Raw genomic sequence first — 16,633 nt, forward strand, 5'->3', positions numbered from 1 at the left:
GTTTGTTGCAGATGAAGACAGGGTTCCAGGAATTCTTGATCTTTCTTGAACATTCCACTGACTTCTTAACAGAATAAAGATTTTGTATATTGCAGAGATAATTTATAGATACAGGTACAAAGGGGATACAGACAAAGAGAAAGGCTAACTTCAGGATGTTGCGTATGTCAAATCATTACATTAGTTTACCCAGAACCAAAAAAATTATGCAATATATAAATATGAAGCTTTAGTTTTTCATGATTGTTCGTAATGACATTATTATGATAATGACTGTTTGTAATAATCATGCGTACCACCTTAGTCTGAGCAATCATATTAGCAGTTCGTAATTATTGAAGGGCTGTCAGGAACCAGACACTGTGCTGAGTGTTCTACAAACTGTATTTCCAGTCTTCTTTTTTGTTCAATTTCCACTCAAATTTTTAAAGGGGTTTGGAGGGCGTTAGTGTGCCCATTTTACAGAGGTGGAGGAGGAAGCTCCAAAAATGAAGCCCAAGGATCTTAAGGTAATATATGGGCTTGAATCCAGTGTATCTTGCTCCGACAGCCTTGCTTTTGTCATTATCCAACATTAGCTGTCTTTATTATAGTGGCCTTCTTACCACCTAGAAAACAAGTGCCAGCATTCTAGTAAAATTTATTCACCTTCCGAGATTATTTACTATTTTAGTCTGTAGCTTTTATCCCTTTAACTACACCATTCAAAGCGTTGTGCAAAATATTCTAGTAGTAAATAGAGGCTTTAAATCCACACGTTGATAATGGTCAAATCCTCTTAAAGGGGCCAGCAACAAAAATGACTTTAAAGGGGAAATATTCCTTCAATGTTACAAGCGCCCATGAGCATGTTAGTAGAGCAGTTGTGTGTTGAAGAAAGAGAAGGTGGAGTGATACTGAATACCCCGTAAAATCACACAATCAGCACTTAAGAATGTTCACACAGTTGTTCACACACATATTGATATCAGACCTTATAGCAGTCCTATTGGCTAGATCAGTTATTATGAATGTGTTTTATAGAGTAGGAAACAGAGATGCGACGTGACTTGCCTAAGAACACACAGCAGTTCTGAAACTCACCCTGTGCTAATCTGACCTCGTGAAGAAATTGAGCAAACTAGGCTCCAGGGAGAAACGAAAACAATAACAACAAAAAATGTATTGCCAAAAAATTGCTAGCAGACATCTAGAAAAATGTCTTCAACTTCTTTTGGTAGGAAAAGAGGAAAAATTCAAATCTGAATTCAACATATTTATTTTTTTGTTTCTGACTTTTTACGTAAACAGAGCTCTGAGTTGTATCCTCAGATATATTTGAGACTAACAACAAGGAAATATAAAATTATGTTACTACCTAAGCTGCCACTTCTTCAAAGCCTCGTTATTCTTGTTCCCTTCAATGTATTTCAACTCCAAAATACATAGTGACATGAAAATTGTGTATTCACATTGTTCTATTGATTTCGTTGAGAAAGTGACCTTGTATGCACACATGAGAATTTAGAGATCTATATATACCGCCTGGCCTCTTCTTTGTAAGGGTATAACAGCAGTGGTTAACATGCATTTTTTTTTTTTAACAGTTAGATTTACTCTTCCTTTGCACAGACTAATAGCACACTGAGGTAGGATCCAGGGACGGCTCCTTGGCAAGTTGTACTGCTGTGGCCTAGGGAGGGACAACTGGCAGGGCCACACAAGGAGGTAAAACCTTATGCTCCATTTGCAAAGCCAGTGGCCCCAGCAGAGATAGGAGGCCCTCTCTGTGATTTCGGCAGTGGTTTCCCTGGGATTGAGGTCTCCTGAAACTTATTCCCGCAAGGACATACTACTGTGGACCCACCTGAAGGGTGGCATCCACTCTTCTAGTAGGATCTCACATTGGTATTTTCAGACACTTCTGCCCCTTGCCATGTTTAGTAAGTCATCTATGTTGTTTGGGAGGAAAGAGAATGAGCATTCCTCAGTTCCTGCACTGCACCAGGCCTTGCCAATACAGTACCTCATTTAATTCTTGCTACCATCCTTGAGGTGGCTGGCATTAGGCCATTTGCGGGGTGTAGAAAATGACATGCAGAAATACTGTAGCAGCTCACTTAATATCAGGCAGATGGTAAGTGGCAGAGATGAGGCTGGACCCCAGGATTTCTGACCTAATTTCTGATCTCTTTAATTATTCTATACACCAAAAGCCCCTGTGGTTTGGATTCCTAATCACGGGACTGAGATGAAACAGAATCTCTTAGCATAGGGGGCCAAGCAGTAGATGGGCTTTTGCGAAGAAGTTTTTTCTTTTTTCAGAGTCAGAGGTTGGCAGCAAAATATGAGAGATGGAAGGTCAAGTGCAGCAGAAGAGAGAAACAGGGAGAGTGGAGGTTGTTCTCTAGAACATAGAAGCCGCTTCTTCATCCCACACAATGGAAACCAGAGCCCAGATTATATTAACAAGAAGTTCCAGAATTGCAGATGGCCCTTTGCTGCTTAGGGAGGGGGGAGAAGAAGAAGGAGAAAAAGAAGAAAAAGAAAAAGAGCAGGTGGAAACTTAAAAAAATGTTTAGCTGCATGTAGATGGCTTTTATTATAACTGCTAGGCTGAACCAGAAGACTTGAGCTATGTAAAAATGTCACTTGCTCTTATCACGGTTCATAGAGATTACCTTTCAACGCGAGTTTCATTTTCATTTCTTCCAACACTTAGAGAAGTGAACGAGGCAGTGACTCCTTTATTCCCTAACCCTCACCCAGCAACTTGCTTTTTCCTCTGTGTTTTGTGTCATTCTGTGTGATATTGCATCAAGGCAATTCACGGCAGTGGTTGAACCAAAAGCAATTTAAGTCAAAAATGGACAAATATGGATGTCACTTATAAGGCTTGTTCAAAGGCCTTTGACATCACTCAAAGCCTGAACACTTCTCAGGAGTGGGATACTTTTTTTTATTATTATTTTTTATTTTCTAGCAGTGCAAGATTGAAGATTTAATACAGACCTCTTAGGCGTCTGCGTGGTTCTTACCTAGAAACTGTTTATTGGTGAACCAAATATTTTGTATCTTATACCAAGAAAGAGGGGCTGACAAAGATTGAGTGATTAGAAATCCAAGTGAATTTCTATTTATTATTTTGACTTGGTAATTTGTAATAACAATAGCCACCATCTATCTATACTTCCTAGATTTGGGCATGGTGTTAGGAGTCTTATATTTATTATTTTACTTAATTTTCATAGTCATCCTGTGTAGAAATATCAATAAATATAAAGGTAAGTATTATTGTCCCCATTTTACAGATGAGAAAATGGAGTCCCAGGGACCTACCTGCTCAAGGGCACAGAAAGCTTGAATGAGTAAATTTACTTTGTGTTGTTCCAAAGGTTTCTCCAAAGGTCTTTGCACCTCCCAAGGCTATTCTCATTTTGAGAAAGACTGGCACAGTTAGAGGCCAGGAACCCATCTTGGCTGTGTGCCTTCTGCTTTGTCTCTGGGGTTGTGGGGAAGGCTGGTAGCTTGAGAGCCTCCTCCTTCAACTCTGTCAGGCTGCATGCACATTGGAAGGTAGCTTTTCAGGTTGTGGTGGGTGGTGGTGAAGCAGAGGGATGCAAAGCAGGGTACGTGGAGGGCTGTGCCTTGGTCATTCCCAGGAAGCAAAGCGAGCGTCAAAAAAAGACAGGGTAGTTGGGCCATGGCGTTGCAGAGTGACAGTGAACCAGGAACCAGAAGAGCTGACTTCAGAGGAGGCTTTAGGCGCTCCTGCATGTTGATTCTTAGAGAACTAAAGACACAGTTGCATCTTAAAATGTTGAGACTTACACGTATACACAATAAGAATATTTTCTTTGGCTGCAAATGTACTATAAAAGAGTGAAAAAGCCAATCCCAAAAGATTACATTGGTAGGATTCCATTTACATAATGTTCTTGAAATTAGAAAATTATAAAAATAGAAAACAGATGGCTGGGCACGGTGGCTCACTCCTGTAATCCCAGCACTTTGGGAGGCCAAGGCAGATGGGTCACCTGAGGTCCGGAGTTCCAGACCAGCCTGACCAATATAGTGAAACCCCATCTCTACTAAAAATACAAAAAGTTAGCCGGGCGTGGTAGCACACACCTGTAATCCCAGCAACTCGGGAGGCTGAGACAGGAGAATTGCTTGAACCCGGGAGTCAGAGGTTGCAGTGAGCCCAGATCGTGCCCCTGTACTCCAGCCTGGGCAACAGAGTGGTACTCCATCTCAAAAGAGAAGAAAAGAGAAGAAAAGGAAAGACAACAGATAAGTGATTGCCAGGGACTGGAGAGGAGTGGGGGGTGAGTGGGAACCAGAGTGGATTTAAAACAGCAACTGGAGGATCCTGGTATAGATGGAAATGTTCTGCATCTTGACTGTCTCAATGTCAATTTCCTGGTTGTGAAATCGTACTAGAGTTTTGTGAGATATCACCTATGGGGGAAACTGGATCAAGGGTGCATGAGATTGCTGTATTATTTCTTGACTGCATGTGAATCTACACTTATCTCAAAAATAAAAACTTTCATTAAAATCAAATAACTGCTTAATATTTTGGGGGAAAAATTCAACAAGTAAATTCAAATCACCCACGAGCCCACCACCCAGAGAGAGTCACCTGCTCTATTTTGATATATTTTCTCTTCCTCCCTTCCAGTCTCTCTCTTCTGTTCCTAGATATAAAATGGAGAGGTTTTAAAATGTAATTACATCTAACTATCCCCTGGCTTGGTAATATCCAACCTTTTCATGTCCTCAGAGAGGTCCAAAGGCTTTGCTGAAACTTGTTGGTTTGGCATTGATTTTGACAAAAGACAGCAACAAGATCCCCTTTCTAGGAACCCATGTGGATTACTATGGATTCAGAATGGATGCATTTTATGTACAGGGCTGTGACTTTTTCTTTCCCCTTCCTCATGCTAATAGGTGTTAATACTTTGCAATAAATATTACTTATGTCTATGAAATGAACTGCATCCCAGCCTGTCAGCACATATTTATTTTCTCATTTTAGTTTCTCCAGGTTCTCACTGTTATGGAGGGTGGGGAGGGGGTAGAATAAGGTTAGGCTGGAGGGCATATCTGATTTGGAAAATACATCCCTGGTGATGTTCCTACCAAGTCACAGGCTTGGTTGGTGATGCTAAATTGGGACTGAGGAATGGGTTAGGAGAAGGCTTGAAGAACCCACCTCCTAAAACCGTCTCATCATCGTCTAGAGATATTTCTCCAAGTGCTTTTGTTTCCAGTGACCTCCCAACCCCAGGAACTAGCGAAGCCTTCAGGCAGGTAAGCGCACAAATCCTGCATTTTCTAGTTAACCATATATTATTAGCTAGTGACTTGAGCAAGTTGCTTCATTTTCCTGATCCTCCATTCCCTTTTCTGAGCCACAGTTTCTTCGTCTTTGAGTAGAGTTAACAAATTACTGGGTGTTTGAAAGATCAAATGAGTTAGCACATGAGAACATGCTTTGCACAAACAAAGTTGTATGCAAAATAAGTTATCATTATGGCATGGGAGAAACTGTTTGTGGACATTGCCTCCCAGTTGACCCTCAGTGTGTACTTGTGGAATAATTTTTTAATATAAAATAATTACCATCACTAATCCTAACTGTGCACATTCTTGACTCTGTGACACTGAGCAAAATCCTGAACCTCTCTGTGCCTTGATTTCTTTCACGTCTTGTTCTAGTTTTGAAGAGCGATTCTTGTGTGAATTCAGGGAGAGGAGGCATGAGGCATGGTAAGGCCACTGTACGTCTGTGGTTGACAAATTCAGTAGGCCCACAGTCAATGCAAAAGTCCTCTTGCCTCTGCAGCACAGTTACAATGAAGAGGAGCGATGGCATGGCATGATCCCACTACTTAGGGAGGCTAATTATGTAGTGTCTACAGAGCCAGTGGTTTATTTTGCATTGTTTATGTCAGCATTAAGCAGTATTGTTACACAGTTTGTAAGTCTTAAAACTCAGTATCTACTCTAGTAGTTGCTCCAAATGTGATGTCCTCATAAATCACCGAGGGATCTTGTTAAATTTGGATTCTGATTCAGTAGGTCTAGGTGGGGCCCGAGCTTCTTTGTTTCCTTTTCTTATTTAATTTTTGTGGGTACCTAGTAGGTGTGTATGTACATATATATGTATATATATATGTGGTTTTTTCAAAAAAATTGTGGGCACTTAGTAGGTATATATATTTGTGGTCTGTGTTTCTTATAAATTGGTAATCCCCCAGGGGATGCCTGCCTTGTTGGTCCAGGTAACACACTTGGAGTAGCAAACATCTAGACGTAGTTCTCAATAGTAGGACTATTGCCAGTGGAGGGGGCATTTTGGAAATTTGGAAAGGCATTTTGGTGGCCTTTGGCACTTAGCAGGTGGGGTCCACGGGTCCATCCTGTGATGCCATAGGCAGTCCAATATAACAAAGAACTGCCCTCGTCCCGGTAACATACACCTGTGCCCCCAGACATTCATTTCGGTAAAAAACTTGTTTCCATTGATCTGACCCCAGAATTCCCTGTGCTTATACAGATACACAACGTGCACTGGGTCTTCCAGAAATGCAGGGGCCTTCTAAATCAAGGGAAGATTGTGTGGTGTTTTGTTCCAGTCTTTTACCAAGGTCTCAATACCATCTTGAAACATCATGCAGCACTGCTCATAATATTTGAGTCACCATAATGTGATCTGTCTACATATGTAGCTGTTTGTATTCATGGTGATTAAATAGTTGGGTGCTAGACATGCCCTTAGCGAGCAGCTCATGAGAGCAGATTTTGCCTGTTTCTTCCAAAATCTGGATTCAGTGACATCGTGTTGGTAGCTTGAAACTGACCGTGGTGAGAATATTTACACCATGGAAAGTGGCAAATGCTACTAATAAGGATGATTGTTTTAGTTTTCATTTTGTAATTTTCAGAGTTGGTTTACCAATATGATGTCTGTATTAAAATATATGTAATGCTGCTTTCAAAATGTTAAGTATTATGAGAATACATTAACAAAACTCTGGCGAATTTTTTGTCTTATGTTTCTTGAATCCAAACCTATAAGTAGGTGCAAACATTAGACGATTTCATTTTGGGCTTCTGATACACTCCTGTCCGAGAAGTTACCTTTGAAAATGTGTACTATTTTATTGTCAATTATGTTTTCTTTAAAAAAAATTTATGACATATTACTTTTGCTAATTATGTGTGTGGGTAGATTATGTTATTCATGAATTTTATTTCAGGACCTTGGTAAGGGGTTATACAATATTTCTTTTGAAACGAGGGTCTCGATTATTGGGCTTGAGTATCCTGATCTAATTAATGCACTGGACAGAGCTGGCAGACGTGTGGGACACCCAGCTATTCTCTGGAAGGGAAGGGGGATATAAGAGACACACTATAAAGGTGAATGGTAATTGGCATCTCCCCTTCAAGGGGACCAGGAGGATCTGAGCTGACTGGGTGCCTTTGTGGAAGTGTGTTTTGAACTGAGATTAGAGAGATCAGCAATGTATCTCTTAAAGTAATCCAGGAGGAGTTCATTTTCAACCGATTCAGCAGTGGAACACTTGAAGAGGAGGAAGTCAAAATTCAAAATGGGTTGGGTGCAGTGGCTCTCTCCTGTAATCTCAGCCCTTTTAGAAGCTGAGGCAGGAGGATTGCTTGAGGCCAAGAATTTGAGACCAGTCTGGGCAACATAGGCAGACCCCATCTCTAAAAAAAAAAAAAAAAAAAATTAAATTAGCTGGGCTTGGTGGTGCACACCTGTAGGCTGAGCTGCTCGGGAGGCCAAGATGGGAGAATTGCTTGAGGCTGGATGTGTGTGGCTATGGTGAGCTAGGATCACGCTACTTTACTTCAACCTGGGTGAAAAAGTGACACCCTGTTTCGAAAAAGAAAACAAAAAGTTGGAAATGAGTGGGAAAGGATCTAAGATGATTGGAAACAGTGTACATAGAATACAAGAGGAGTTGGGCATGCTGGCTCATGCCTGTAATCCCAGCACTTTGGGAGGTCAAGGCGGATGGATTGCTGGAGCTCAGGAGTTTGAGAACATCCAGGGAAACATAGTGTGACCCCATTTCTACAAGAAGTAAAAAAAATCAACTCACACCTGTAGCCGCAGCTACTCAGGAGGCTGAGGCAGTAGATTCATTTGAGCCCAGGAGGCGGAGGTTGCAGTCAACCAAGATCACGCCACTGCACACCAGCCGGGGGTGACAGAGTGAGACCCTATCTCAAATAAAAATAAAAATAGAATACAAGGGGGGATAAAGATAGACTTAAAATACGCTCTCTAGAAAAAAGAAAGAAATATGGAAAGAAATCTAATTTAGAAAAATGCACGCACCCACAGGCACGCTTCACAGGACTGGCAGGTGGAGAGGATGTTTGTTAACAGGGCTGGCTATTTTACTTTAAGTGCTGCAAACATTGCACTAATGTTTGGGTCTTTGCTTTTGGCAATCACTTCTCTTGTTAATTTTTTTTTGGCACCATAGAAATGTTTCCATAAATAGTGCATTCAATGGAGTGTGTTACTTTATTACTGTCAGCCACTGTCCTAGGAGAGGAAAATTCAATAAACACAAAAGCAAAGATTAGAACGTTGAAAGCTTCCAATTCCAGATCCTTCATGAGCTTGTACCTCTAAAGAATGCGATTTTTCTATTTCTCCACCTGCAAAATTCTTACTTTTTGGGCTGGTAAAGCCACCTAGGTCAGTGCCATGTCCAACCCAATCTGGAAAACGATTATTGTGGTGCCTGTTTTGTTGACTTAACAAAGCCAATCGCCCATTCCTATGCTGCTAAGATGCGAATGCCCAGCTCAGGGGATGAGATTACTGTCAGCTTTGCCTAAGCTTTGGGCATTAGCACCCTCCATATGCAACAAACCCACAAATGACATGTTTTGACTCTTTGACACAGAATGGTTGGAAATCACTTCCTTGGCCAGAGCAGGGGTCCGGTGTAAAGGAGGAAATAAAAATAAAAAAGCATAAATGAATGAGGAAGTGAGCAAATCACACTCATCGAGGAGCAAAATAATTCATTCCCTCTCCGTGGCTCAGCATGGATGCAAATAATGTATCATTAAGTAAGTCCACAAAACAAAGACAGCCAGCATAACTGTTGCATCAAATATTTAGCCAGAGCCAAAAGCAATTTATTATGTTTTTTAAAATAAGTTTGATTTACTAACCTTCAGCACAATCCCTATTTTTAGAGGTTGGCTCATATTTTTAATTTGTTTTCTCTGAAGCGCTGCATCCTTGGTAGCGTTTCAGCTGTCCACTCGGTTCCTAATGGCAGAGCAACACCGAAAAGCGTAATTACATTTCCTAATTATGTGTAATTAGGCAAAACCCAGATGATGTATTCAACATGCTCTGAGAATAGCCAGGGGTTAAAGACTGCTGGAATTTGGTAACATTTTTATAAATAAGCTGGTGCGTTATTTAACGTGGAGGTCTAAGGTGACGCTGGGTGCCTTGTAGACCGATACTGTGGTTGAAATCTATCGTATTTGTTTATTTAGCCAAGTAAAACTGTAAGTGATTCCCCACCTCCATACCTTCCCCTCTTTTGGAAACCAGAGTTTAGTTGTGCTATTCTTAGCCCAAGAGAGGCCCTCTAAACCCAGAACCATAAAGTTCTGCTTACTGACAGCCTAAGTGATATTTATTTTTTCAAAGCTTAATCCTTTTGAAACATGGAGAAATAAATACATCCTCTTATCTACCATATGCCTGGGATGGGAAATAAATTCTTATTTTCCTGCCGTGTGGTACCAGTGGGTTACGATGAATAATTTGGGCAGTCTCACTGAAGATAATAGGGAAGCCTTCTCTATTACCAGTGATAATTATGAATCTCATAATGGAAAACATCCCGAGCCCGAACATCAATCAGGGAAGATAAACAATGGGAAATGATAGGTGTACAAAAGGGAAAATGGCAACAGCACATGTGGAGGGAAAGACCGCAGAATTCTGGCAGGGTTATAAATCATACAGTCAAATAATTTCCGTGCAATTAATATCCTCAAATTAAAACATACCTTTTTAAAGAAAGATTTTGCAGACTTTTAAGCTGGGCAACTGTCTGCCTTACAAGATGCGTCTGGAAACCCCAGTGCCATCCTCCTTTTTTAGTCTTGTATATTTATGTATCCCCGGCCAGAGTTGGCTGGGGCACAGTCTAACAGTGTCACCGTGTAAGCTGACCCAGTGACCTTGCTCTAGCTCACCAGGGACTGAGCATACACCAAAGTGGCCAGAGCTAGTGGTTGCTGACTCTCAGGATCTTTGGCCCTGAGAGAACAACAAAGACTGGCCTATTGAGGCAGGAAGTCTTAACTTCCTTGGCCAGCCTGAAAGGCTGTCTCCAACCATGCGGACACAGCGCAGTGAAGCGGTTGGAAAAGCTACAGACAAATGGAAAACCTTCATTCCAAAGGGTCGTTGTCTCCTCCTATTTAATAGCCCTGCATTCATGCACTTTTTTTATCTTGCTGTCTTTTTTTTTTTTTTTAATCAAATACCAAAGTACTTCTATGGACTGGTCTTAAAAAAAAAAAAGAATCCATTCATAACTGTGAAAAAATACTGCCTATTAGTCTGCTATTGTGGCTCAAAATGAAACTTAAGACTACATGGCTAATTTATTTACTGCATCATGGGTGAAGACCAACAAGGTTTCCAGCCTTTCCTCCTATCTGTCTGCATGTAGAAATTCACAGACCACGGCCATTCTGACATGAATATCAAATGAGAAGTTTTCCATTCCAAACCCTTTTTAGGAGCGGCCTGGAAACTGGAGTCAACTGTCAAATATGTCCTTATGGCCACAAAGTATGCTCATGGATTCTCTTTTACAGGCTTAGCATAATATTTTATAAAACATATTTTTAAAGAAAGTGTAATTTTCCCCCAAAAGCAAGGGTTTTCCAATGCCATATAATTTACTAAGTGTGGCTTTGCTGCGTAATAGTCCATAATTTATAGTCAGCCTCCACAAGGCAAAAAATAACTCCAAGCTATGATTAAGTAAGTAATGGACAAGGTAACTAATATTTCCGGAAGAATGGCCTTCCAGACACTCATTTTAAGTGACAAAATGGTTGAAGGTTGAGATATGTACTAATCCTGTACTAATTTAATGGAATCAAGAAATGACATTATAAGCTGGCTTATGTGGGCACTTAAGACATGGAGCTGAGAGTGAATATGAGAGTGAATATTCTGCACGTCCATTTTAATGACCTTGTGCCTCATTTTCCCCATTTAAGGTAGATGGGTTTATGCCTAATTGTGCCACCAGTTTTTCCCATAAAATAATTCATTTGGAAGGGGTGGCCTAATCCAGTCTGAACCAATTCTAAGATGGTAGCGTGGATGCGGGAGGCACTGCACAGGATGGAAAGCATGGAGTTTGGAATCTGGCACAAGTGGATTTGAATTCAGACTTAGTCATCAGGAGCTGTGGGACCTTGGGAAAGGTTGGTTGGTTGGTTTGTTCCAGTTTTTAAATTTTGAAATAAATGTTGGCTTACAGAAAAGCCATAAAAAATACTGCAAAGATTTCCCATGTACTCTTCACTCAGCTTCCCCTAATACTAACATGATACATTTTTCAGCACTGAGAAGTTAACCTTGTTATGATGCTATTAACTACACTCAGACTATAACTGACCAACAGACTTTATTTGGATTTGACGGTGTGTCCTCTTCCTTCTTTTACAACCAGATACCACCTGGCATTTATTATCATATCTCTCCAGTCCCCTCTGGTCTGGGACAGTTTCTCATGCATTATTTTTTTTAATGGCCTTGAAATTTTTGAAGAGTTCCGGTCAGTTATTTTGTAGAATGCCCGTAATTTGGGTTTGTCTGATGTGTTCTCTTGATTAGAATGACGTGGTGCATTTTTGGGAGGAATATACATAAGTGATGTGCCATTCTTCGGCCATCAAGTCAGAGGATGTGTAATGTGAAAATATCTTATTACTAGTGATGTTAGCCTTGACCTCTCGGTTAACGTGGTATCTGCCAGATTTCTCCACTGTAAAGGATCATTTTTTTCCTTTGTAATTAATAAATATATTGGGGGAGGTACTTTGGGACTACTTCTCAAATTTTCATCCATTAATTTTAGCATCCCTCTGGGGATCTTGCCTGCAATGATTAATACTGTGGTATTCTCATGACTGATATTGTCTTTCTGTCATGCCTTCTATTTTTTGGTGGGAATTCTTCTACATGGAAGGCTGTTTCTTCTTCTCCATTTATATTGGTATGGATACGTGAATATTTAGTTTATTCTGTAGGTCATAATACGACAGTATTGTGATATATTTTGGTGCTCAAATTGTTCCGGCTTTGGCCCATAGGAGGTCTTTCGGGCAGGTTCCTGCACCCTTTTGACATGCCCCGTTCTTTTTTGAGCACTTTCTTATTTTTTGGCACTGTAAGAGGCTTTACACTGTCATCTTGGACTTCCCTGCCTCAGTCTTGGAATTAACTCATTCTCCATGGAGGCTTGGTTCGTTTTATTATAGAATCATATTTAGAACTAAGATCTAGGTGCTAGTTGCGCTCATTACTGCTGGAGTGTCATTGCTTCTAGAACTTCTCAACAGAGTTTAGAAATATGTGTATTATACAAACCCATGCACATACACCTATCTCCATTTATTCCTGTATCTCTGTGTATATTATAATTTTAGTATATTTATATTTCTTTCTGGACACATTCCATTATTTGTTCATATATTTATAACATATCAGTATCTATTATAAATTATATATATGTACACTTTAATGTGTGTTTGTACCTAATTCCAATCCAACACAACAACTGGGTTTTTTCAAACTTGTTTCTTTGTTTTTTTCTTTTTGTGGAGAGCAGGGTCTTGCTATGTTGCCCAGCTCAGTCTCAAAGTCCTGGGCTCAAGCGATTCTCCCGCCTCAGCTTCCCTAAGTGTTGGGATTACAGACTTGAGCCACTGCATCTAGCCACAACTGAGTTCATTATTCTGAGCTTTCTTTGGGATGTTATTTAACTCTCAGTTTCTTCTTCTATAAGATGGAAATAATAACAACTAAAGGCTAGGATTTGGGGAAGGTATGGTAAATTGTAAAAATGGTAGCTTGTTTAAAAAAAAAAAGAAGAAGAAAAAGGAAAACAGTATTTCCCTCACCGCATCAACACCTGTCCTGTATGACTGGCATTGCCCAGTGGAATCTTAGCAGCAGAGGCATGACAAGCGGTCAGATACTGGGACTTTCTGTTTCGTTGCTTACAACCCTGTGACCACTGCACGAACAACCCTGAGCTGACCTGCTGGAGCATGGTGGCCACATAAAGGGAGAGTGGTTGCCCCAGCTGATAGCCTGTCGGTGCCTGGCATATGAGTGAGGTCCCTCTAGAGTCATCTAGCTACTAGCCAAGCTACCACCTGACCCCAGACACACCAGAGAAAGAGCACAGCCCATTCGCGGACTCAGAAACTAAATATAAGAAAAATGGTCACTGTTGTTACTCACTGGGTTTTGCAGGGGTTTAATATCCAGCAAATGCCAATGAATTAGAGTTGACATACGGAAAACAAGTAAGAGTAACTTTGTACACCGTGGGCTCCCAATCAGTGCTGCTTTTCGTTGTTGATGTTGTTGTTAATGTTGAAAAAATCTTCAAGTCATATTTGCCCCCACAGACCTTCCCAGACAGTCTAACTAAATGCACTGTATTTGCTAACTGTTGGAACTTGGCTTTTGGACTAGACCAGCACCTCGAGAAAGAACCACTGTTAAAATGTAAGGCTCTGAGTGTTTATCAGCTCACACCAAGGAAGAGAGAGCTCAGGAGCGACTGGGCATGAGGTGGAGTGAGCACTGTGAATGCTGGGGAATGGAAAGTCCTTTATGTGGTGTTGCCTAAGGGTACGGGGAACCTGGCCTGGTGTTGGGAGGAAACAGGGTGCAGAGTGGGAAGGGCAGGAGTATCTAAGTGGCCAAATTTAGCCTAATTAACAGATTTGCCTAGGGCTGACCCTGAAGCAGAAAGCAAAGCCTAGATCAGTCTGCTCTCCTCCTACCAACAGGGTAATGATGAGGTTGAACCACCAGTTCTCAATGCCATACATGAGATTCCCAAAATAGACGGGAGTTACACAGAGACCTTTTTTTTTTTTAACCTCCTCTGAGATTTTTTTTAACCTCCTCTGAGATTCTGTATTTCCTTAATGACCCGAAAAATCTATTTAGCCCAGTTTTTATCCTTGCAGATAAGTTAGTACGCTTCTTTTTCTGCTGGTTGTGATCATATTTCTATTTAGGGGTAAAGGTGCTGAAAATCATTTGCTGCGATGACTCGCAAAGACATAGTTACCATGAGCAGCAGTAGGATGGGTGGCCACCAGACTGCCATGGGCATGATCACTGTTGACAATCTTGCCACAGCTCCCCAGGGTCTACTTGGTGTCCCACGGAGGACAGTCTATACAGTAACTCAACATTAACTGTGTACCCCTCCTAGTTTGGCCACTGTTCTGCCCAAACATACAAGAGTCAATGTAAGTCTCTGGGAGCACTCACCTTTGGGCATGTTGCTACAGAGTCACTCATTCCTAGAAATTGCGAAGTCACGAAGTTGTCAAAAAACACAACGACAGGCCGGGCGCGGTGGCTCATGCCTGTAATCCCAGCACTTTGGGAGGCCGAGGCGGGGGGGATCACGAGGTCGGGAGATCGAGACTATCCTGGCTAACACGGTGAAACCCCATCTCTATTAAAAATACAAAAAAAAATTAGCCAGGCCTGGTGGCGGGCGCCTGTAGTCCCAGCTACTGGGGAGGCTGAGGCAGGAGAATGGCGTGAACCCGGGAGGCGGAGCTTGCAGTGAGCGGAGATCGTGACACTGCACTCCGGCCTGGGTGACAGAGCCTGAATCCCTCTCAAAAAAAAAAAAAAAAAAAGAAAACAACTACAACCACATTTTGAGATAGGCCTTCCTTGGCAAACTTTGATTTCGTTTCTGTATTTGAGGACAAAACACAGTATGGTTGTTTCCCTCCCTAGACTAGATTTCTAATCTTGATGCAGTGAGCAAAGGGCGAGGTTTATATTGTTCTTACCTGAGCCAAAGGACCCATAAAAAATAGAGTGATAGGCTGGGCTGGGCGTGGTGGCTCATGCCTGTAATCCCAGCACTTTGGGAGGCCGAGGTGGTCAGATCACCTAAGGTTGGGAGTTCGCGACCAGCCTGACCAACATGCAGAAACCCTGTCTCTACTTAAAATACAAAATTAGCCGGGTGTGATGGCACAGGCCTGTAATCCCAGCTACTTGGGAGGCTGAGGCAGGAGAATAGCTTGAACCTGGGAGATGGAGGTTGTGGTGAGCCGAGACAATGCCATTGCACTCCAGCCTGGGCAACAAGAGCGAAATTCCTTCTTAAAAAAAAAAAATAGAGTGATAGAGTGAGAATTTGGCTTTTAGTCTACAGAAGTTTTCACTACCAGTTTCTGTGTGTGTGAGTGTGTGTGAGTGTGTGTGTGTAAAATACCAAAGAGAAAACAATAAAAAAATAGAGAAAATAATAATAACTAGCCAATGTGTCATCACTCCAGACAACAGCCATGGTCAGTATTTGGTTAACCCATTCAGATTTTCCCCTATGAATGAGTTTTTTCGCCTCCATAATATTAGTTATAATACATTGATACTACATCCCGAGTGTTTCACTTAACATTATAGCACAAGTGTCTTCCCCTGTTGTAACATAGTGATTATTAATGTCAAATATCAGCTAGATAAAAGCTGTCAAGTGATAGAAAGTCCTTATAGCTCATGAACTCTTCAATAACTGGGAATTTATACCGTTTATAGTTTTTTTACTGCTAAGAATAATGTTGCAATGAAACGTTTGTATATAATGCTGTTTAGTCCCCTCTCCCCCATTGTTTACGATTCCTTGGAGTTCCACTGCTACTTCATATTTACCATCACCATCCTTGTTCACCATTGTTGAAGCTTTATGTAATGACGAGCCTCATCCAGGACCTACTTGTGTCTCTGTGCCAGTCACTGCCTGTGAACCAGGGGTGTGTGGACTCAGGGCTCAATTCAAAAAAGAACCCAATCTTATTGGGACAAACAGATATTGATACCCCTGGTCTTTGAGCCCCACTGTCTTTTCACACTAATGAGTTCTTAGTGTCTATTTTTGGTGATTGAGTAGAACTTGGTGCCATATTGGCTCAACATGGAAGATTTCTGTGATCACTTATTGATCAGTCATGAATAAGGAATCGGGATGGCAGTCGGGAGTGTGCCAACACCTCTCTCAGTATTCTGGGTCTCTCTGCATGTAGTGTTTCTTTTGCAGCTCCTAGAGATAAATTTTTTAATGTATTACATGTGAGTTATTTGAAAGAGGGTAGGTGTGGACAGTGAGGCCAGGTGACTTAATTTCCAGAAGCTTGCCTGTGGTATTTACCTTGATGAGTTCATTAACAATATGGCTTTCACCCTCAAACTTGCTCATTCAGAAATTAGACTTTGTGAGCCCACTAAGAGTAGGTCTTTCTGTTAGGTACAGACTCTACAATAACCAAATTCACA

General features: G+C 41.2%; 1 protein-coding gene across 2 annotated transcripts in view; it reads left to right on the forward strand.

Annotated features, from left to right (window-relative positions):
* The window catches only part of WWOX (WW domain containing oxidoreductase), a 1,113,014-nt gene that overhangs the window by 734,954 nt on the left and 361,427 nt on the right, over positions 1–16,633 (forward strand). The gene's annotated exons all lie outside the window — the stretch shown is intronic.

Source organism: Homo sapiens, chromosome 16, assembly GCF_000001405.40.
Source record: "Homo sapiens chromosome 16, GRCh38.p14 Primary Assembly".
Classification (NCBI taxonomy): Eukaryota; Metazoa; Chordata; class Mammalia; order Primates; family Hominidae; genus Homo; species Homo sapiens.